The sequence below is a fragment of the Homo sapiens genome, chromosome 18, assembly GCF_000001405.40.
Source record: "Homo sapiens chromosome 18, GRCh38.p14 Primary Assembly".
Taxonomy (NCBI): Eukaryota; Metazoa; Chordata; class Mammalia; order Primates; family Hominidae; genus Homo; species Homo sapiens.
The window spans coordinates 69,030,409-69,055,453 of NC_000018.10; the positions used below are offsets into that span (position 1 = coordinate 69,030,409).

General features: G+C 33.4%; 1 protein-coding gene across 8 annotated transcripts in view, besides 2 other annotated features; it reads left to right on the forward strand.

The window, feature by feature from the left end:
• Positions 1–25,045, forward strand: part of CCDC102B (coiled-coil domain containing 102B) — a 342,906-nt gene that overhangs the window by 315,193 nt on the left and 2,668 nt on the right. For 5 of the 8 annotated variants that reach the window (XM_047437804.1, XM_017025973.2, XM_047437805.1 and 2 more), the window contains one exon: positions 23,622–23,725. In XM_047437804.1, the coding sequence (XP_047293760.1) occupies positions 23,622–23,725 (104 nt within the window). Of the gene's footprint in view, positions 1–23,621; positions 24,782–25,045 lie in introns of those variants that run through there. The other 3 variants (NM_001093729.2, XM_047437806.1, NM_024781.3) reach the window with 1 other exon arrangement.
• Positions 8,007–8,176: an enhancer, noted in NCBI's record as "experimental_49334 CRE fragment used in MPRA reporter constructs". NCBI's record gives its function as "activates a minimal promoter by MPRAs in K562 erythroleukemia cells, with activity observed for the non-introgressed 18:66705737 variant allele {active_cell/tissue: K562}" and the evidence as "EXISTENCE:reporter gene assay evidence [ECO:0000049][PMID:34662402]".
• Positions 8,257–8,426: an enhancer, noted in NCBI's record as "experimental_49336 CRE fragment used in MPRA reporter constructs". NCBI's record gives its function as "activates a minimal promoter by MPRAs in K562 erythroleukemia cells, with activity observed for the non-introgressed 18:66705987 variant allele {active_cell/tissue: K562}" and the evidence as "EXISTENCE:reporter gene assay evidence [ECO:0000049][PMID:34662402]".

The window sequence follows — 25,045 nt, forward strand, 5'->3', positions numbered from 1 at the left end:
AATTGGCCTGGTTACAAAATAATGAAAATTATAGTAGACACATGCAGGAAGATTAGAACTCAGAAGCTTAAATATAATTCAACAAATAATAAGTTGTTCATTTTTATTTTAGAAACATTTTTTGAAACCTTGCACTTTGGGAATCTTTTCTTGTTCTTTGAACTTCCACAAGAATATGGTCAATAATTATGTTTATAGGTTACGTATTCAAATGTTAGTATTTATTTTCTCATTAACAAATGAGTATGTTTTTGTTTTGGTTTTTGTTTTTGGAGACACTCTGTCACCCAGGCTGGAGTGCAGTGGCGTGATCTCGGCTCACTGCAACCTCCACCTCCTGGGTTCAAGCAATTCTTCTGCCTCAGCCTCCTGCGTAGCTGGGACTACAGGTGTACACCACCACGCCCGGATCATTTTTGTATTTTTAGTAGAGATGGGGTTTCAACATATTGGCCAGGCTGGTTTCCAGCTCCTGACCTCATGATCCGCCTGCCTTGGCCTCCCAAAGTGCTGGGATTACAAGTGTGAGTCACCATGTCCTGCCCAGTGTATGTTTCATTGTAAGATTTTCTGTTTCAATTTAATTCCATGAAATTAAGGTTTTGTTTCTTTTACTTTCTGTCCAAACAGAGAAATCCATATAAATGCATTCAGGTGCTTATGACCTAAAGGGCTTCATTAACAAAGAAGAGGTTGCATGTAAAATAATTTCCCCTATGTCTGTGTTTGTCATTTTAGAAATCGTAATCTGTCATTTTAGAATTGGAAGGATATTTATATTGTAGAAGAAATCATTTCATCGTGTTATATATTATTCTTCTGAGCATTGTAGTCCTTTTTAGTGACTTAGGGGGTCTCTTCTAAATTTAAAAATAATCATCAAATATAATGTGCTCCCTTTCCTTTGTGGGAAATTAAGCATTAGTCATTTGGCTTATAATCCAATCATAAAACTTACTTATTTTCTTTTTACATAATTTGTACATCTTTTTGTATTATTCCTTGTGTTCTCCTTACTTACAAGGCACCTTCCTGGAGACCTTTTTTTTTTTTTCCGTCTGCTTCTTTTCATGAATTTATTTTGATATAGCAGCATTTTTCCTTCAAATTTGGGGTATCTAATTTTTATCTGAATAATAGCTGGAGCTTTAATTTTAATCAATTAAACACAATTATTTACTGGCTTTAAATATTACATTTGTTACTAATTTGTTTTTTTCTTTTTCAAAACTTTTTTGGATGAAGATCTTGGGGCTCTTAATAAAATTGCTATTTCTTATGTTCTATGAAGGTTTCACTCCCCTTTGTGGAAGAAGATTTCTCTAGCTCACTAGTAGATTATCACCTGTGTAGACAGCCGATGGTGTGGCAGGTGGTGTCTTAATATAATAACTGGGCTGAATTCCCAGAGTACAAAGCCATGCAAAAGAGTTACCAAATCATTTTATAATAAGCAAAATCAAGTAGGTTCATTCTGAATTCTCTTGTTCTTTAAGTTCCTTTAAGAAAGTTTTATAATTTTGGTCACATTTAATCTTTGCATTTCTGTCACTGATTTTTTTTTTACATTTTTTTTTCTTTTGGTTAAAATGGTAAGAAGGAATAACTGGATTTTTATATCAAGATTCAGTAATATTTGGAGATTAGGCCAGGTGGCTCATAATATGTGATAACAGATTGAAACTTGGGACAAAAAATGTCAATTCCATTTCTCTCATTGAGTTTTTTTGATGCTGAATTTCATCCCAATGTCCAGACAAAGAGGCACATAGCCCAGTACTCTTAACAAGCTTCCTTCTGAAAGCAGACATCTGTTGTGCATTAATTGTGCAAAGATAAAATAGTGAATGATGGATTATTATTTCCCTAGGAACTTTATTAGTGCTCTCTGCTATTTATATCCCCAAAGAGGAAAGTGGGAAATAATGCAGATCATGTGATGATCAGATACAAGTGCTGTTGTCATGAAAATTGATATTATCTGACAATATTTTGTCTTCCTTTGGTGTTGGACAATAGTGTTATTCTCTGTACAAATAATGAGCATATTACTTAGGTTCATGCAACCCCAAGTGAATTTTAATTATGATCCACATCAAAACCCTTGTGAGGTACTGGTTATAAATAGCATGTCCTTAACATTTTATCACACATCTTGATGAGACTATTCTACAATTTAGAAAGAGATTCCCTATAGTTATCTTTAATTTGGATAACATTGGATAAATGTCCCTTATCAAGGCGGCACACCATAAACACTTGAAATACTTCTACTGCAAGTGATCTCTGGGATGCTGAAGTGTTCTATCAGCTACAAATTTGCCACATGATATCATAGCTTTGATTCTGCAGTTGCTATAGTACTCTGAAAAAATGCTCAGTGTTAGTCCCTCAAGGCATCTATTAAGCACCAGCTTTGTAGGATATCAAGTGCTTCACTCTCACTGGTCGTGAAGCTGGCTTAATTTATTTAGCAGACAAGAGAAGAAAAAAAAACTCTGAGCTGCAATAAAGTGTTTACTAGAATGTTTTATATATGCATAACAATAATCATACATTATCTAGATTAACACATTGTAAAGCAATGTCAATTCTTGTTAGATTTTTTAAGACATCTGTGCCCACTTATCAAATCAATTTTTAAAGATTTTAAAAGTTTATCATATAGAGATAAAGCATTATAATGTCATAGATTCAAGTGACACAATTATTTAAGATGATATTCTTAAGAACCTTGGACTTACTGGATATATTCAATTAGCTTAATTCCTTTGTAGAAACCCAAGACTTAATTCTTCAGCTTAACATACAAAAATTATGGCAACTGAAAATGCATGTCATACTTATTTTAAATTATTTTAACAGCTTTATTAAAATATAATTAATACACCATACATTTTGCCCATTTTAAGGGTTCAGTGCAATTCAATAGTTATTAGTATCATCATCATGTTGTGTAACAATCACTACAATCTAATTTTAAAACAGTGTCATCATCTCAAAAAGGAAAGCCTCTGCACATTAGCAGCCATTCCCATTCTCCTGTTGCCCTAGTTCTTGCCAACTGTGAATCTAGTTTCCCTCTTTACAGACTTTCCGATTTTGGACACTTCATATAAATGGATTCATAGAATATGTGACCTTTTGTGACTGGCTTATTTTATTTAACATACTGTTTTCAAAGTTCATCATCTTGTAGCATGGATCAATGCTTCAGTCTTTGTATGGTTCATTCATCAGTTAATGGATATTTGGGTTGTTTACATCTTTTGGCATTATTTTTGTGTAGATGTATGTTTTTTTTTCCCTTGGGATTGTGAAATCATATGGTAACTCTATGTCTAACTTTTAAGGAACTGTCAAACTATTTTTCAAAATGGTTCCATCATTTTACATTTTCACATGCAATGTTAGAGGATTTCAATTTCTTCACATTCTTACCAAAATTTGTTAGAGTTCATCTTTTTTACTCTGGCCATCCTCCTTTGGTGTGAAGTGGTATCATATTATGATTTTTATTTGAAATTTCCAAATGCTTAATGATGTTGAGTACATTTACATGTGCTAACTGGCCATTTGTATATTTTCTTTGAAAAAAATTTATTCACATCTTCTGCTCATTTCTAAATTGGTTTGTCTTTTTATAATTTAGTTGTGGTTTTTTTAATTACTATTATTTTGGATACAAGTCCCTTCTCAGATATACAATTTGGAAATATTTTCTCTTATTTCTCTCCTTCTGTGGATTGAATTGTCTTTCCACTTTCTTGATAGAGTTATTTGAAGCTTACAACTTTTAAATAGTTTCTGATTAAGTCCAGTTTGTTTATTTTTTCTCTATTGTTGCTTGAGCTTTTGTTGCTGTGTATGTTGCTCAAATCAAATGTAATAAAGATTTACTCTCATATTTTCTTCTAAGGGTTTTATAGTTTTAGCTCTCACATTTGGGTCTATGATCTCTTCTGAGTTACCTTTGGGGAATGGTATAAAGTGCAGGTTCAACTTCATTATTTTCTTTGTCAATCTAGATTCCAGAACAATTTGTTAAAAAGATTATGATTTCCTAATTGAAATGTTTTGGCACTCATGTCAAAAAGCAATTGACCATAAATGTCAGATTTTCTTTTTGAACTTTGGACACAATTATATTCCACTGGTCTATATGTCTATGCTTAAGCCAGTAAAACATTGTCTTGAGCACTATAGCTTTTCTGTTGAAAAGTACTGAAATTAACAAATGTGAGTTATCCAAATTTATTCCTTTGTAAAATTGTTCTATACTTTATATATATATGCATATATAATTATTATTATTATAAAGACACCCCACTGTGGATGCTGTGCATGTGTATATATATACACACACACACAAATATATATACACACATACATATTTATATGTATATTTACATATACATGGGAAATAATTGGTTTCCTTTTGGGAAATAATTGGTTCAAAATATTGAGAATATAGCTTTTTATCATTTCGGTCACTGTAATTGTCCACTTAGAGAAAACTATCTCCAGCCTGTTTGCAAAACAGCCATACCCTTAAAATGGAAATCTCTCAAATCTGAACCTGTGTCATTCCATATAGAATTACTCAATTATACTAATTTATTTATAAGCAAGCATTTTACCTTTTGCTCTAAAGAATTTAATTCAAAAATTGAGTATTTCCCTGAGATACCCTCATGTTCATTTCATTAACTCCATACATATAACAATTGCATTACTAGTATACCATATTAGAAACACTATTGTTTATAGATCTCAAAGTTCAATAAATGATTTTAGCAATTCATTTATCCAACAATAGCTTGTGTAATATTTTTTAAACATTTTAACAATCGTCCAGTAGGCAAGGATGCTACTTAATTTAAATGGAAGGTACTTGGTAAATATTTAGTAAGCAGTTCCATGAAAATGTGAAAATCCTGTGAAATTCAATGGTTTTTGTTGGAAAAATGAAGGTTACTAGGTACACTACCTAAGTGATTCTTGAAAATCAGAATCATCATCATGGGTTACAAAACTAGAGGACATTATAAGTTTTTGGATTCACAAAATTACGATAATCTAATAGTTTCCATATAGGCAGTAAAAAGATGTGATATTGGAGGACCTGGAATTGATTCTGACATTGAAATACATGTAGAATCATGTAACAAATGCTATATACATAGCAAATTTCTCAAAAGACAACTGCTTTCTACCTGAGATCACCAAGAAGTCTTAGTAAAATGTCTTTATTGGTTTTACTGAAGTTTTTTTTCCAGATGGAGAGTTCATTGTCATACAGTCCTTAATAAAGTGGACCAGAATATTTCACTTCCAATTATAAATATCTGGGCAAAATTTACTCTGTATTAATGATTCAAAACTGGCAAATTGCCATGGATGCTTATTTCTTGTAAAGGTTCTGCATTGCATGAGGTGCATTTGGGGAATTTGTGAACAGGAACTTAGCTGAAATTTTGCCATCATTCCTCATTACCCTAATCAAATTCCAAGCTGGATAGATTATAAGGACACCCCACTGTGGATGCCCTGGAGCAGAATTGGAGCAGATTGGCCAAAAACACTTGCCAGAATCCCCGATGCTCAACTTGTCACTTCAAGTTCCATGGCAGGAGTTGGTCCTGTTCTATTGCTAATGGAAAGATGTATTAAAATTGGTTATCAACTGCTTCCATTGGGATTTAAAGTTTTATATACCAATAAAAAGAGGAAGAAAGTACTTGCTTTAGTCTGCAGCATCTAACAGGCTTTTGTAGCCATTTCTATTGTGTTATATTTTATTTTTCATGATAGAAATTACTATTTTCTAATAACTGTAATATCTTTTTAGCTGAAATCATTGTCCCCAAATTATGAAGACTTAGAATATAGCCGAATCCTTGTTATATTATCCGTTTGATGTGATTCTAAGATATGGTTTAAATGTGTTTTACTTGAGATCTAAATTTTTGGGAATCTACCCAGATTTTAGCAAGACGACCTGGGGCCTTACCAGAGTAGCAATAGGAACAAAGGAATTATTCTGTACACAAAGTAAATATTGAATTGGATTCATCTGGCATACCTAAACTTTAGGAAATTATTTATATAGAAATTTTCAAATTATAGCCTACTTGCTTGGCAATGACTTTTAACAACAGTGGAAGGGCGTCTGTTGCTTTAGCCTAACCAGCATTCATTTGTTCTTTTTTAACAAGCAAACACTATTCCAGGCTCTTGAAATACATGCATGAATAAAATGAATACCCCTGCTGCATGGGATTTGCATTGTGAAATGCAAAGGAGAGAAACAGAGGCCATTAAAATATAGATCATATAACTCTTAGAAAATATCCAAATTTCTACATTGGGTACAAGTGGCAGTATTAAATATGGTGTTTGGCCTAAGCTTTGACTAAATGCATGAAAGACGATAAACTGAATCATTCAGATATCTGTTAAAGGAAGATTTTGGGAAGAAGGAATAGTCAGTACACATCCTCGATTGAAGTTATCAAATAGAGAAAAACAGGTGATATATGACAGTGCACTGCATATCAATGAAGCTATGTATGTTGTATGTTGTGTATGTGTATATATATGTGTGGGGGTGTATATATACACACACACACACACACACACACATACATACATATATACACGCACATACACATTACTCTTTGCAAAGTTTCTGCATTGCATGAGCTTCATTCAGGGAATTTGTGAACAGATACTTAGCTGAATTTTTGCCATCATTCCTAATTACCATAACCAAATTCCAAGCTGGACAGATTATAAAGACACCCCACTGTGGATGTCGTGGATGTGTATATGCACCCACACATCCGTATGTACAAACACATCCATATACACACACACATCCCATGTATATCACATTTAGAATATATGGTTGCAAAAACATCAAGGGACTCACAGTCTATGAGGGACAGAAATAGAAAATGCTGATTATAATTTAGCTTTATAAGTTCAAGGATAAAGGACAACAAGAGGTAGAATAAAGTGTCTAATGAAAACGACATCTGTCAGGCCAGGGCAATTGTACTGACTTCTCTTCCAAGTGTGTTCCAAGGACAAGCAGCATCAGTATCACCTGGAGACTGGTTGAAATGCAAAAATTTTGAGCCCCACCTAGACTCACTGAGTCATTATTTTCATTGTATCAGCATCCTCAGGTGATTTATGAGAAGGTTAACAAAAGAAGAAAGAACATGAGCAAAGGCATGAGGGAAGAGAAAGAGTAAAACAAACACCACTGCCAATAACAAATCAGCCTCGTTTTGTATAGAGAAATAGAAAAATTCAGAATATAACAAAACAGATCACCCTGATAGAAGGTGAGAGAAGACAGTAAATTGGATGAGGCTTTTTGTGTTAATCTGAGTACGGAGTCTAATTTGTAGCACTGGGGGCTATTGCGGGACTTGTTACGTGAGACTAAATGGTCACAATAACCCCACCTAGGTCTTTGAGGTAAACCAGATGAGAGATTGTAAAAGCCTTGATCACACCTCAGGTACTTTGCATTGCTTTTAAAACATCCTTCAAATTAAATGTTGATTTTTTATTGTAAATTTTATAAGAGATTGAAACAGATTTATAAAATATCAGAATGTTTAAGCAACCAAATGAATAATTAATAATATCACAGCCACCTCTATCACTATTTTGTGGTATTTTTGTTTTTATTTTTATATATAATAATTTTTTGCAAGAAATGTCATAAATTATACATAGTATTGTGAGGATTTTTAATCAACTTAAATAGCATAAAATGGCGCCATGAAATCCAAATAAACATTTTAATGTCTGCAGAATGTTCCATTTTAATGTCTGCAGACTATAATTAAACATAATATTTTCAGTAACCATTTAGGTTAACTTGACTTTTTCATGATCATAATGGAGTACATTTGTGCAAAATGTTTTGTGTGTTTCTGATATTATTTGTCATACGTTCCAATACATAATGAATAAAACATGAATATTTTAGGGCTTTTGGTATGGCTTTGATTTAGAAATGCCTTCCAAAATGTGCTCCAATTCATATTACCACCATTCTCATAATTTTGATATTAACATTTTTCTTGACCAAAAATATACATACCTTCTTTAAAAGATGAACTATACAAACATAAAGATAAAAATGTAAAGCACCCATAAGGGATCCTTCCTGCCAGTGATAATTTCCACTAACTTTTTACACTATTTCCTTCCAACCATGTCTATTAAGTCACATATTTCATATCCATCTCTATACAAGTGTGTTTTTGTGTATAAATGCATTTACAAACTGATTTACATATTCTATATATTTATTAATATACACAAGCATTCACACACAGACACTCTCCCCCAAATCATCTTTGTATTCCTAACAAATATGCATTAAAGGCATTATATAAAACTTGCTTCAATGGAAAATAGAGTCAATTATTTCTTCAGATATTTCATAAATGCATATCCATAAATCTTAAACATTATCGAGTGGCTCAATGTTTGATTAGGCTACACATTTTTATTAAATACTAATCTTTTCCTTTCATCAGTTGCTCTTGTCATTAGCAAAGCCCTCGCATATTTTTATCACCTTTTATCACTGGTTACTAAAGGACCATTCAGACAGTGCAACAGGGGGGTTCCTGTGCTTACCACGTTGCAACCATATGTCATCTCCATCGCAAAAATGTCACTTTCTAGATTTTAGATCTAGAATATCTAACTGAAGATACAAAGCTATCTAGAGTATTCCATTGGAGATAGTAAAATGAATGCCATAGGAAAACAGCATGTATTTATTTTAATATTAAGATCCTACTCTGTGTGCAGTTGCAGAGCTTGCTTTTATTAAATTAACATTATATAGTTATATCTAACAGTGTTAAGTATAACATTTTTTCCAAAGTTATTTTGTTTCTTGAATATTATTCTAATGCAGATATACCAATATTGTTGTAATTATTTCACTAATTTGGGTCATGTGTGCATTGTTATTTTGCTATTATCATAGGTTACTTACTAAAATAAACATCTATTCTAAGTTTTCTGCATCTCTGAATATTTTCTATCACTGTTGGTACCATGAGATATTATTATATTGATATTTTAGATTGGTTGACATTTTGATTAGATGATTGTACTATTATTAATTATATGTGTCAGTTTGGTTAAATTACCTAAACTTTCTTATATCCTCTTCAATATTTTGATGTGCTATAATGTCTCAACTGGCCAGAAAATGCATGATTATATATTTGCTCTTCCATTTTATTTAATGAAATTTAGTTATGCAATGTTTAATAAATTTATTTTTGCCATTTATTACTTCCAGTCTCTATTTTGTAGAATTGTTAGCAGTAGAAACAAATCTTTGAGAATTCACATTTAGAGGAATTTACAGGAAATTACAGGAAATTAGAGGAAATTAGAGGAAAATACAGAATGAATTATTACTATATGTTATGTAATGTAATAGTAAGGATTTTTTTCCTACTCTCCAATTGTAAAATAGTATAAAATATTTCCTTCAAATACTGAATGAGCCACACTTTACTTTTGCAGTTAAATTATATTGCTTAGACTAAATTTTCTTTATTTACTCTATGAGATAAATCCTAGATCTTTTATGAGGCAGGGGAAAGGCTTATAAGGTACCCTTATTTAACAGACCATAAAATGAATTTATCTATTACATGAGGAATGATACATGTACACTGAAGTTTATTTTTCAACTGCAGATCCTATGAAAAGTTAATCCCTAATTTTATGATCATTCATCATTTTAGGTGTGCCTGGTGGCATTATCCATTTCATTATCGCTACTAAACCAATATTTTATTTTTATATGAAAGCTCATGAGTGAAAGTTATATATAATATTTATTTCTTGTATTTTTATTTTTGAATCCTTGAGGCACATTAAACAAATTATATCTATGTAGATTTAGATTAGATGCAGGGGTGTGTGTGTGTGTGTGTGTGTGTGTGTGTGTGTATGTGTGTGTGTGTGAGATGGCTTCCTCAGTGTTAAATTTGACTCTGTGGCTAAGGTTTTGATCAATTTGATGGTATTAAAATGTCAGTTTAGTCAATAACAAGATCAAGCAATAGGATTATTGAGATTTTTCATTAACTATCCTCTAGAGATTTGACAGAAATTCTTGAATCGGTTGATTACTTTAGTGGTATGCATTCTACCTCCAACCATATCTGTTGATTTTATCACTCTGTAGTAGAAGTATGTTTGATAAGCAGGGTTTAAAATATGTCAACGTTTTGTGACTATGTGGCTATTGAAGTTGTCTTATTTTTACTTAGATGAATGTGACAAAATTAATCTCTGTGTTTTTTAAGATTGGTTGCTATGTTATTAAACTTAAAAAATCTGTTTCTGAGAGGTTAAATTAAAAATAAATGTTATCAATATCAGTAGCCTCTCTTACCATTTTGAATCTAATTCTTTAAACCTGGGTGAGGTAAGAGGCATATGAGAGCCCACAGGTAGGAAGCTCCCAGCTGGACTGCAAAAGAAAGAGGAAAAGCAAATGCCTGGAAAGTTCCTGCCATTACTGTTGCTGTCAGAAAAAGGAGAGAAGTAGGCTAGAGTGTTAGAGTAAAAAGAAATCAAGGCCCAAAGGAACATGCAAATTCATAAATATGGCATTGGCTATTTTATTATTGAGCAAAAAAAATGAGTTTAATACATGCAGGTAAGCAGTCAGAAAGTTGAAGTGTATTTTATCTCTTATTACAGAATCAAAGCAGCACTTGCTATGTATCATCCTACTTTTAGTACACAGCAGATACTCAATTTGCATTAGTTACATTGAGCTTACTCAGATGTCCTGTTTTTCATAATTCTTTATCAAGTTTATGCTGACATGTGGTTGTTTATAAATTTTACCAGTTCCCCTTATAGTTACCCCGATAGTGTATCTTGCACTTATGGTTAACATGACCTACACTTATTGGATACAGGTTTGCCTGCTATATTACATAACCATTTCTATCACTCTAGATTACTGCTCCCATGATCTTTTCCTATATTTCTACAAAAGTTTACTGTTTCATCTTCCTGCTTCCCCTATGGACTCCTTATAAATGATTGGCCGGTTTAATGCCCAAAGCCCTTCCATTCAACTTTGAACAAAACCCTAACTCCTTTATATGCCCCCAGGTTGTTACATGCCTGGAGTCTGACCATTAGAATTTCAGCTTACATATCTTTATTTCTCTCTTTTTTTCTTTTGTAGCCTAGCTAGCAGTCTATCTTATGAATTTTTTCAAATAACCACCTCCTGGATTCATTGACCTTTTGCATAGTGTTTCATTTCTCAATTGCTCTGATTTTGGTTATTTCTTGTGTTTTGCTAGCTTTGGGGTTGGTTTGCTCTTGCTTCACTAGTTCTTCTAGTTGTGATGTTATTCAGCCCTTTCCAAACCAGGTGGTCAGTTTCTGTTACATCATTGTGTTTATTTTTTCCTTGGAGTTTATCACAAAGTACCCTGTTGAGTTATGGGCTTTTTGTTGTTGCTTTTTTTCTCTCTCCTTCCTACTACCCCAATTTGAATGTCAGAACTAAGGCAGCAAGGGTGTCCTCTGACTTATTCATAGTTGTATTAATTACCATCAGTCATTTGGTATAGAACATTTTCTAACCAGGCTTGAAAAGAAGAAACGAAAATAAGGGTGGAACGAATGAAGGAGGAGCAGCATGGAAAAACTGGGAAGTTCTCTTTTTCAAAAATCACGTAATAAGGAAATCATAAAATAATATTACAATAAATTATTGAATTACATATTAAACACTCAGATTTACAATATAGGAATGAAATTGCACCAAACAAAACTGGCAGATGAAAAACTTTAAAGAAAGCAAAATTTAAGGGATAACTTCAGATTTCTAATCGCTAAATCAGCCTGTTTCATACCTCAAAGCTGCCACTAATGTGAAATCACAATTGGAGAAGATTTGGCAACAATATTTCCTCAAACCTGCTCATTTGGTCTTATCTACATGGCTACCACTTTAAAGCTACCACCATGTCTCACTGGACCCGCAGCATTCATCTCCTAACAGCTTTACCTGCTCTACTTTTCTCTAACAAAATCGTGGTGATCTTTAAAAAGAAATTATATTATCTTAATACTCAGCACCCTGTACCTCAGTACCCTGAATCGTGAATTCCCTTAAGAAGTGTGTAATTATAACCATTTCTGTCACTCTAGATTACTGTAATAATCTCCACTCCTTTAGACACTGGGCCACAGATCTACTGAATTATTTTCAGGGTTTGAGTGTAGGGAGTTTATTCTGAAAAGAAATATGACAAGTAATATTTATGAAAATAAACTTTTGAAAGAGATTTGAAAAGCATAGCTTGAAAATAATGTATGTGTGGCAATGATTTGGAAATGCTGTTCCTTGAAGGGGTGGGTTGCCCCTCCACACCTGTGGGTGTTTCTCATAAGGTGGAACGAGAGACTTGGAAAAGAAAAAGACACAGAGACAAAGTATAGAGAAAGAAATAAGTGGACCCGGGGAACCAGCGTTCAGCATATGGAGGATCCCGCCAGCCTCTGAGTTCCCTTAGTATTTATTGATCATTCGTGGGTGTTTCTCCAAGAGGGGGATGTGTCAGGGTCACAAGACAATAGTGGGGAGAGGGTCAGCAGACAAACATGTGAACAAAGGTCTTTGCATCATAGACAAGGTAAAGGATTAAGTGCTGTGCTTTTAGATATGCATACACATAAACATCTCAATGCTTTACAAAGCAGTATTGCTGCCCACATGTCCCACCTCCAGCCCTAAGGAGGTTTTTCCCTATCTCAGTAGATGGAACGTACAATTGGGTTTTATACGGAGACATTCCATTGCCCAGGGACGGGCAGGAGACAGATGCCTTCCTCTTGTCTCAAGTGCAAGAGGCATGCCTTCCTCTTATACTAATCCTCCTCAGCACAGACCCTTTATGGGTGTCGGGCTTGGGGACGGTCAGGTCTTTCCCTTCCCACGAGACCATATTTCAGACTATCACATGGGGAGAAACCTTGGACAATACCTGGCTTTCCTAGGCAGAGGTCCCTGCGGCCTTCCTCAGTGTTTGTGTCCCTGGGTACTTGAGATTAGGGAGTGGTGATGACTCTTAAGGAGCATGCTGCCTTCAAGCCTTTGTTTAACAAAGCACATCTTGCACCGCCCTTAATCCATTTAACCCTGAGTTTGACACAGCACATGTTTCAGAGAGCACAGGGTTGGGGGTAAGGTCATAGATTAACAGAATCTCAAGGCAGAAGAATTTTTCTTAGTACAGAATAAAATGGAGTCTCCTATGTCTACTTCTTTCTATACAGACACAGTAACAATCTGATCTCTCTTGCTTTTCCCCACAGTTCCTATCCCTAATTAAGCCTGAAAGAGTTTTCTAAAAAGTTCTACAATACATCCCAGTTGTTTTCAGATTTTATAAGCACAGCATCACGTGAAGGAAGTGGAAATAAATTGCATGAGAACTGCCCCTGAAATTTTAGTTCAGAATGTCTGGTAAGGGGTCCAAGAAAGTGATTTTTTAAAAACATTCCCAGCTATTGCATTTAGTATGTGGCCAGTTTTTTAAAAAGAACAAACAAAACCAAACCAAAACCAAAGCAAAAAATACATTACCAACACTACATTGAAAGAATGATTTAATGGTAAAAATCTATCTCTATAATTGAATGGAAATCTTTTTACCTGTCATAAAGCAAGACATCCTACTGACAGTAGAATAGAGGTTAAGAGTTTGAGGTTGTGGAATCTGTCTGGTTCAAATGCTAATGAGCCATGATTCTACTTCTAATGAACATTGCTTCCAAAAACAATTAATACAATATTCTCATTTTGCCACAGTAACTTTGGTTCTTAACCGCAGGACCATTGTGCAGATTAAATGAAAGCATTGAAAACTGTGCCAAAGGCATAGTGTGCTCTCAATATTTATTGTCTTCTAAAATGACAAATTCATGTAATAGTTCTCCTGGGAAACCCTGTACATTTGCCAAATTCAGTAAGTATTTTCCCTCTAGAGAAGGCAATATGAGATATTTGAAATGAATAACTCTGAGAAAGACTGATTGAAGGAAGACAGCTATGCTGAGGACCATTATTTCTATGTTTTGATATTTATAGAGAGCTTCCTTAAGATTTTAATAGTTAATTTACCTCCGCTGTGTGAGATAGTTTAACATTATTATTTCCTTTTTAAAATGAGGAAACTGAAGCTCACGTGACTTCATGACTGTTTACACATGCAAACCAAAGGAACAGTAACAGTTGGGAACCACGTTTGGGATCTCTTCCTTAAATGTCAATGAATCTCTGTAAATTATTCTGTTTTACTTTGTATATATTGTATGAGGCAGCATGGGCTGCCATAACGAAATACCACAAATTGAGTAGCTTAAACAACAGGAATTTATTTTTTCACATTTCTGGAGGCTGTACGTTCAGAATCTCAAAGTATCAGCCAGGTTGGTTTCTCATGAGGCCCCTTTTCTTGGTTTGCAGATGGCCGCCTTCTTGCTGAGACCTTGCATCACCTTTTCTTGTTGTGTGTGCGCTCCTGTGATCTCTTTCTCTTCTTATTTGAATACCCTACTGGAGTAGGGCCCCACTCTTACAACTTCATTTAGCCTTAATTACCTTCTTACTCTACTTCCAGGTAGAGTCACATTAGGATTTAATGCTTCAATATGTGAATTTTGAATTCACATATTGAATTGGAGGGAACACAATTCAGTTCCTAAAACGTATCAATAGTAAATTATTCATGAAGCATTCAATATATCAAAACATGACAAATGACAACAAAAATATAATGATTATGATAAAATGAATACAAACAAACTTTTCTAGTGAATAAAACATGTAATAAACAAATTATTAACATGTTAATCATTTCCTTCTGTGATAAAATACTCTCAAAATTATGGTTTTAAATGTATTATAACTATGTTCTTTACTAAATAATCATTAGGCTGTTCATAAATACACATTCTTAATGCAAAAACAGAAATACTGAGGAATCATTTTAAATTAATTTTACATTTTAAAAATAAATTTTACTTAAAGTATCATACTGTATTCAAACTCCAATGTCTTTAATAGTTGGACCAAAATATTTCCTTTTTATTTTTTACTTTTATTTTAGGTTTAATGGTACATGTGCAGGTTTCTTACATAGGTAAACTGCATGTCACAGGGGCATGGTGTACAGATTACTTCATCACCCAGATAATAAGCATAGCACCCAATACAATAGGTATTTTTTCTGTTCCTCTCCCTCCTTCCACCCTCCACCCTCAAGTAGGTCCCAGTGTCTGTTGTTCTCCTCTTTGTGTCCATGTGCTCTTGTTGTTTAGCTCCCACTTATGTGTGAGAACATGTGGTATTTGGTTTTCTGTTTCTGTGTTCGTTTGCTTAGAATAATGACCTCTAGCACAATCTATGTTGCTGCAAAGAACATAAACTCATTCTTTTTTATAGCTGCATAGTGTCCCATGGTGTACGTGTACCACATTTTCTTTAGTCTACTGTTGATGGGCATATAAGTTGATTGTCTTTGCTATTTTGAATTGTGCTGCAATGAACATATGCATGCTTATGTCTTTGTGGTAGAATGATTTATACTACTTTGAGTATATACCCAACAATGGGATTGCTGGGTCAAATGGTAATTCTGTTTTAAGTATTTGGAGGAATCACCACACTGCTTTCCCAGAATGGCTGAACTAATTTACACTCCCACCCAAAATGCATAAGTATTCCCTATCCTCTGCAACCTCGCCAGCATCTATTATTTTTTGACTCATAAATAATAGCCATTCTGGCTGGTATAAGATGGTATCTCATTGTGGTTTTTATTTGCATTTCTCTAATAATTAGGCTGAGCATTTTATAATATGCTTATTGGATGCATGAATGTCTTCTTTTGAGAACTGTCTGTTCATATCCTCGGCCCACTTTTTAATGGTGTTTGTTTTCCTTTTGTAAATTTTTTAAGGTTCTTAAGCATTCTGGATATTAGACCTTTGTCAGATGGATGGTTTGCAAAAAATTTCTCTTATTCTGTAGGTTGTCTGTTTACCCTTATGATACTTTATTTTGCTGTTCAGAAGGTCTTTACTTTAATTAGATCCCAATTGTCAATTTTTGCTTTTGTTGTAATTGCTTTTGGCATCTTTGTCATGAAATATTTGTCAGGTCCTATGTACAGAATGGTATTTCCTAGGTTATATTCCAGGGCTTTTATAGTTTTAGGTTTTATATTTAAGTCTTTATAATCCATCTTGAGTTGATTTTTGTATATGGTATAAAGAAGGGGTCCAGTTTCAATCTTCCACATATGGCTAGCCAGTTATCCCAGCACCATTTATTCAATAGAGAGTCCTTTTCCCGTTGCTCATTTTTGTCAGCTTTGTTGAACATCAGATAGTTATATGCATGTGTCATTATTTCTGGGATCTCTATTCTGTTTCATTGGTCTATGTGTCTATTTTTGTATCAGTACCATGCTGTTTTGGTTACTGTAGCCTTGTAGTATAGTTTGAAGTTGGGTAATGTGATGCCTCCAGCTTTGTTATTTTTGCTTAGAATTGCCTTGGCTATTTGGGCTCTTTTTGCAGAGACACAACAACAGCAAACAAAAACTTCAGGCCAATATGCTCAGTGAACATAGATGCAAAAAGTCCTCAACAAAATACTCACAAACTGAATCTGCCATCGCATCAAAAAGCTAATGCATCATGATCAAGTAGGCTTTATCCCTGGGATGGCAATCAATAAATGTGAATCATCACATAAAGACAGCTGAAGACAAAAACCACATGATTATCTCAATAGATACAGAAAACACTTTCAATAAAATCCAATATCCCTTCATCTTAAAAACCCTCAGTAAACTAGGCATTGAAGGACCATACTTCAAAATAATAAGAGCCATCTAAGACAAACCCACAACCAACATTATACTGAATGGGCAAAAGATGGAAGCATTCCCTGTGATAACCAGTACAAGATAAAGATGCCTTGTCTCACCACTCCTATTCAACATAGTATGAGAAGCCCTGACTAGAGCTATCAGGCAAGAGAGAAATAAAACGCATCCAAATTGGAAGAGAGAATGTGAGACTATCCCTGTTTGCAGATGACGTGATTCTATATCTAAAAAAACCTCATCATCTGTTCCCAAAATCTCCTTGATCTGATAAACAACTTCAGCAAAGTTTCAGGATACAAAATCAATGTACGGTAATCAGTAGCATTCTTAAACACCAACATCTAAACCTAGAGTCATATAAGGAATGTAGTCCCATTCACAATAGCCCCCAAAAGAATAGAATACCTAGGAATACAGCTAACCAGGGAGGTAAAATATCTCTACAATGAGAGTTACACTGCTCAAATAAATCAGATATGACAAAAACAAATGGAAAATAATTCCATGTTCATGGACAGGAAGAATCAATATTGTATAAATGGCCATACTGCCCAAAGCAACTTACAGATTAAATGCTATTCCTATCAAACTACTAAAATGTTTCTTAAATATCTAATAATACCTGTAAGTTAACTTCCTAAATGTCATAGCCCACATTGATATTCAAATACTAAAATCTAAAATAATAGAGCAGAAGTTAAAAATTTATGAATCAAAGAAAAAGTTTAAAAGAAACATTTCTCATTCATCTATTAAATTATTTAGGAACTGTCCTAAGTACTGGCACTGTAATGCCAAATAAGTGTGTGTGTGTGTGTTTTTTTTTTCCCAAGTAGGTATACAGGTGAGAAGATGAAAATGTAAAATAAGTTGAGGGTCCAGAATAATATTAGTCAAACATTACTATTAGCCTATTACATTATTGTATTTTTAATCTTGAACCTATATAACAGAATGAAAATCTTTCTAAAAATAAATTTTTAATGAGGCATGAATGTTGAACATTCTGGTTTCTCCATAGAAAATGGAAACTAAGAAAAGTGAAATCAACAAATATGTGTGAGTTTGATACAAGGGGAAACTTCTATGATAAGAAAGTAAACTTGTGCCATCTCTATGAATTAGGAATTATAGATAGCAACAAAATGTGGGTATTACTGAAAAATGTCCAAATGTTTGAAATTCAGAAATAAGACTAAATATTATTTGGGAGTTCATTATGATATTATTAACAAAATGTTCATTCTGTAAGCATAAATATTTGATGAGAAGAGTTTACAGAATAGCATTTCTCCATCAGGGTGCTTAAAAAAAACTCCCCTCCCCCATACCCCTTGGAAGAGTAACAACTTAAATCTATATAATTCTTTCTAACATTTAACTTGATTTCACTTTAATAACGCTGGTATAGAGATCAATCACTTGGGATCTGGTTCATCTTTAGCAGTGGTTTGACTTTGTATAGAGGAGGATTGATATTTCTTGCAATTTTATTTATTTTTATTTATTTATTTTTAAACTCTTGGTTTTTTCATTGAATTATATTTTTCATTGTAAATATTAGGTAAAAATGTAACATTAAAAGAATCTGAAATTCCTGTATGTTACCATCATCAAAGGTTTTAAGATTTTCTTTCTTTTTTTTTTTATTATACTTTAAGTTCTGGGATACATGTGCAGAACGTGTAGGTTTGTTACATAGGTATACACGTGCTATGGTGGTTTGCTGCACCCATCAACCCGTCATCTACATTAGGTATCTCTCCTAATGGTATCCGTCCCGTAGTCCCCTACCCCCTGACAGGCCCTGCTGTGTGATGTTCCCCTCTCTGTGTCCATGTGTTCTCATTGTTCAACTCCAACTTATGAGTGAGAACATGTGGTATTTGGTTTTCTGTTCCTGTGTTAGTTTGCTGAGAATGATGGTTTGCAGCTTCATCCATGTCCCTGCAAAGGACATGAATTCATCCTTTTTTTTTCTTAACATGCAATTTTAATAAATACTGAAATTATTGGTTTATTCTCTAGTGCTAAGGATTAGCAATCTACTTCAAGGGAAAAGCAAGATTTTTGTCTGGAAGCTGAGCATATGTGGAAAATTCCCCAACATTGTAAAATATTCAATTGGAAGAATAAAGGTGCTAAAAATTACTGTGTGGAAGGGAGGAGAATAAAATCACACAGACCCACCCCATGGAAGCCCCAGTAAGGCCAAGAAGAAAACAACCTGGCCACTTAGCAAATAAAACACTTCTTAAAATATTTTAATGGTTAACCTAGAAAAACACAATTAATAGTACTCAAGTAAGATACTTTTTGTTGTGGATTTTTTTCCTAAAAAGCAGTTCAAAGCCAAGACCTCTCAGCTTATTCAGAGTATGTCAGGGTCCATTGCTTAACTTTTCATTGCATTTTTTTTTTTGAGACGGAGTCTCACTATGTTGCCCAGGCTGGAGTGCAGTGGCTCAATCTCGGCTCACTGCAACCTCCACCTCCCTGGTTCAAGCAATTCTCCTGCCTCAGCCTCCTGAGTAGCTGGGATTACAGGTGCCCGCCACCATGCCCGGCTAATTTTTGTATTTTTAGTAGAGGCAAGGTTTCACTATGTTGACTAGGCTAGTCTGGAACTCCTCACTCAAGTGATCCCCCTGCCTTGGCCTCTGAAAGTGTTGGTATTATAGGCATGAGCCACTGCGCACGGCCTTAAATCTGCATTTCTAAAACCTTGATATTGTCTATGAGCCAAGTGTTGAAGGAGCAAATTACAGACAGATTCATTGTAATTCAACTCACAATGTTTGCATATAATTTCAATTTGTGAGTATACAGGACAAAATAGCACTTCGATAAGATGAGATGCTCACGCGTATCACCCTTGTTGAAAACTTCTAAAACCTTCTGAATCTATCATTTCTGCTTCATCTTAGTCATCACCTTGGATTAAGTGTTGCTCTTTCTATTTTTGCCTTGTGGGATATTCTGCCTTTAAGATGACTTCTGCACTTTAGATATTAAGTGCTCATTTTACTGCATTAACTTTCCTAGTCATGATAGTGCCTTCACTGTATAGCCAAGAATCACTTACAATAGCAGTACCCATAATTACATTTCACATTAATTTTCATTGTCCTTCTAATAAAACAAGTTTAGGTTAGATAATGTATGCTAAATGCTTCATGTCCAGTACCACATAATGCAATCTATAAATGTTATCTTATTTCATCTTCATTACAAGACTATAAGTGCAACCATTTTAAAGATGGAGAGTATTAAACTCTCTGTGGATATGAAACTTGCTCTTAGACACACATGGGAAAACTGTAATATGAACCCTAATTGATTTCAAAGCTTAAAGAACTATTTCCAAATAAAATGGAGTTTATTTTAAAATACCTTATTTCGATCAGGAAAAAAAAGGCTAATTTTTAGAAAATCAAGGAATGTTTACCTAGGTGTTTCAGTAAAACAAATGTTCCATTAATAAGACTATTTATTTTAGAGACAGAGTCTTGCTCTTCACTCAGGTTGGTGTACAGTGGTATGATCATAGCTTACCATAATCCTGAACTCCTGGGCCCAAGCCATCTTCCTGCCTCAGCTTACCAAGTAGCTGAGACTACAGGCACGTGCCACCAGGCCTGGCTATTTTTATGTTTTCTTTAAGAAATGGGGTCCCACTACATTGTCCAGGCAGGTCTTGAACTTCTGGCCTCAAGTAATCCTCTGCCTCAGCCTCCCAAAGTGCAGAGATTATAGATGTGAGCCTCTTTTCCTGGCCTAATAAGGCAATTTATACTATACACATACAACAAAACTTATAAAATACATTTTATTTTTTTGGAAAAATAACTTTAAAGTATTACTTTTAATGTCATAAGATATAAAATTCCTAAAACTAAATTTAATAAAATTAAACCTCCTAAGAAGAAATTGCAAAGCTTCTAAGGAGAAAATTATAATATTTAGTTGAGAGACTTTAAGGATGACCTAAGTAAAATTTAAAATACACTGTGTTTTGGGCAAAAACATTAAATACTGAAATAATGTCAAATATACTTAAATTATCCCATAGAGTTAATGAAACTCCAGGTTAAATACAAATATAGTTCTTCATGAAATTTGCTATGTTGTTTTTGAAATTTATAAAGAATCAAGAATAATCAAGGTATTTCTGAGGAAAAAGAACTGGGAAAAAGAGATCTTTTACTATTGTATGTAAAACTTTATAATGAAAGCTATAGTAATTCAGACAATGTGCAGGATCAAATAAATTATCAAAAAAAGGGTTTGCTATCAGACTTTATAAAAGAAACTTTATACATCATATATACAGAATTTTGACATATGACAGATTTGATATGTCAGATCAATTGATAAAAGTCTATTCAATATTTGCACTTATGTACCTTTCAAAATGTGTTTGTATAGGAAAAAAATAAAATTGGGTTTCTACCTCATGTCATGTGTAAAATTAACTCCTGCTTGATCAAGAACATAAATGACAAGTGTAAAACATGAAAAAAAAATAGTGAAAATACAGAATAACATTTTTCTATAGTTGAAGTACAAGTCCCAACTGTAGGAGAAAATATTGATATATTTCATAATTTAATAAAAATAACTATGATTAAACCAAAGATCTCTTAAATGAAAAAAAAATGATAAACCTGCCAAAAATGCTTGGGACTCTTATGACCAACAAAGGAATAGTATGAACATTATAACATGAATATATACAGAAAAAAAGAAATGGAAAAATGCCAAAATAGAGTAATGAGCAAAAGGCCTGAATAAACATACATGAGAAAAATGTTAATCTAATAAAAAATATAAAGAGACATTATACATAATTATTGATCAGGGATTGACAAAAGTTTTCAAATGTCACATCAAGAGTTAATGAAAATGTGATTAAACTGGATCCCTTCTAATTATTGAGTTAAATTGGTAAACAATTTTGGGAGACATTTTGGTATTACCTTGAGAAATTTAGTATCATAACAAGTATAATCTGGTGATGCTACTGCTAGCCATGTCTCAAGAGAAAATTTTTCACAGATGAATCACATCTATATCTATCTATCGTCTGTTATACACACACACACATACATAGTGTGTGTGTGCACGTGTGTATCAACAATAGGGATATAATCTGAAAAGATCATCATTAGGTAATTTTATCTTTGTGTGAAGGTCATAGATTTAGATGGTATAGCCTACTCCATTATATAGCTCCATTATAATCTTATGGGACCACTACCTTGTATGCATCCATTATTAACCAGAAAGTCGTGCGGTGCGTTGCTATATATCTACCCAGTTGGCCCTCCATATCCACGGATTCCACATTATTGGAATCAACCAATCAACCACTAATCAAAAATATTTTTTAAAAATGCATCTGTACTGAACATGTACAGATTTTTGTCATTATTCCCTAAACAACACAATATAACAACTAGTTATATACCATTTATATATATTATATACTGTATTAGGTATTATAAGTAATCTAGAGATAATTTAAAATATAGAGGAGGATATGCATAGATTAGTGGCAAATACTACCCCATTTTATATTAGTGACTTGAGCATATGTGGATTTTGAAATCTGCAGAAGGTCTTGGAACCAATCTCCTGTGGATATCAAGGGACCCAGTATATATGAATGTTCAGAGCATCACAGGGCTGGAGACAATATAAATACTCATGGAAAGGAGGGTAGGTATATATGTCATGGCATAGTAATGCAGTGCTATAATAGAGAGGACAAAGAGACCACAGATGAAACATTACTGTAGATGAGTCTTAGCTGTTGGATTTAAAAAGCAAGAATATTACATATAGCATGAAATACCTTTTTTAATTAAAACAATTAAAATGATACATTTTCAATAATATATATAAATATATTTCACATATATATATATATACACTTAGCATATGTATATGTGAATATGTATACATACACGTGTATTTTGTTCAAAGCCATGGGAATAAAAAACACAAGTTATAGTTCAGTGACTTATAGCTAGGGGAGGCAAGAGGGGAAATGGGAGAAGAGTGGCTACATAGAAAGGATTTTGTCAAATATTTCAGAGATCATTTTGAGGTTTATTACTGAATATGTACATTAACTCTATTAAAATAAATGAATATTTTCATTTATTCATGCACATATACAAAAGAAACTCACACATACACTACTGGTAAGTTACTGTCATACAAACATATACCTTGTTTTTAAAGAGTTACTTTATTTCAACTACTTTTTTTTTTCATTAAGAGCTTTTCTTATTAAGATGGAGATAGAAAGCTGTGTCTTATATAGAATGGATCCTCATGTTTTTCAATTTAAATTTTATTTTTAAATTGACAAGTAAAATTTGTACATATTTATGATATACAACATGATGTTTTTCTAAATGTGTACATTGTAGACTAGCTAATCAAGCTACTTAATATATGTACTATTTCAAATACTTATAGTTTTGTGGTGAGAATACTTACAATCTATTCTCTTAGCAATTTTTAAGAATATGATAAGATGTTATTTACTATAGCCACCATGATGTACTATAGAACACTTGAACCTAACTAAAGCATTTTCTACTTCGCTTTCAGCTTGATGATTCCCTGAATCAGATCCGTAAGCTCCAGAGGTCTCTGGATGAAGAGAAAGAAAGAAATGAAAACTTAGAGACTGAACTCAGGCACTTGCAAAACTGGTAATTTTTTCACAAAATATGCTGAATTAAAGATTAGGGCCTTAAAGACATTTCCATATCCTTTTCTTAAATATCAGTAAAATTGTTTTTATTAACTAGAAATATTAATGAAAAAAACGTAGACAATACACAAATTAATGGGCTTCTTCACTTCTTCTAATTTTTGCCTAACAGATACTGCATATTCTCAAAAAGACAATTTAAATGTCATTTAAAAACAACTTTAATTCTAAGATGTGTAAATATTTTGAAAGTCAAAAAGGGCTTTCAGAATACTTTTTACATAAAATCTGAAAGAGTTATAATATCGGTAAGAAAAAGTAAGTTGAAAACCATACAAGACGCTGGGTCATTAATAAGAAAACCATTGACTTTAAGTATAAAGTACTGGTTTGTTTAAATAATTGGTAAACTTTTATGTACGTGTTGTCTATGTGGTGGGGATGGCAGGTTGTATTAACAAAAATGAATCATTCTAGAGGTGTAACAATACATTTCTTATATAATTTTATAAGTCATTTCTAATCTTTGTATAAAACAGAAGTGAGCAGATGAATCAGAAAAAAGTGTTTTGTATTTTAAAGTAACAGATAACCAGTGATTGAATCTAAGACAGGCTGTAAGCATCGCTGAGAAACTAAAAGGACTTTTGACTTTTATCTGGATAGACATTTCTACAGTAAAATCATGGAAAGGCATCAGCATTGCAAAGTAGCATCTAGGTAGAAATCAGGCCAAAATTAAGCTGTGGTTTCCCTCTGAGTAGTGGGAATAGAGAAAATTAGGAAATTGTGGTTATGTGAATATTTCTTTAAAACTTTTATGTACATTATAGTTTATTGCTTCATATTTAAGTTTAGTTTTTAAGGTAAAATGTTATTTTGAACAAAAAGACACTTATAATTTTCCATACCTATTTTCAACTGAAGGCAACTTGTAAGATTTAACTCAGTCAATAACATACTGGTTTTACTCATCTCCCCCTCCATTGATTAGCCAAAAAAAAATGAAATCTTACTAATTCATTATTGAATAAAGACCACTTTTATCAGAGTCTCTCATTGTAAAAGCCTTTGTCATTCACTGAGTCTTCACTTTTTCCCTGTTTCTCTCCCAAACATGGGGGATTGTATGACTAATAGGAACGCAGCACTGAGGGGCAAAGAGGCCCGATCTTCAAGTGCGCACTGGTGTGTGTTTGCTAGGCTGTGTAGTAATGAAATCTATCTTGTCGCTGGGTACTCTTGCTGGGTTCTGATGCTTAAATGTGAACTTCCTTCTCTTTGCTTAACACTCCTCCTGTGAACTGGATCCATCTCA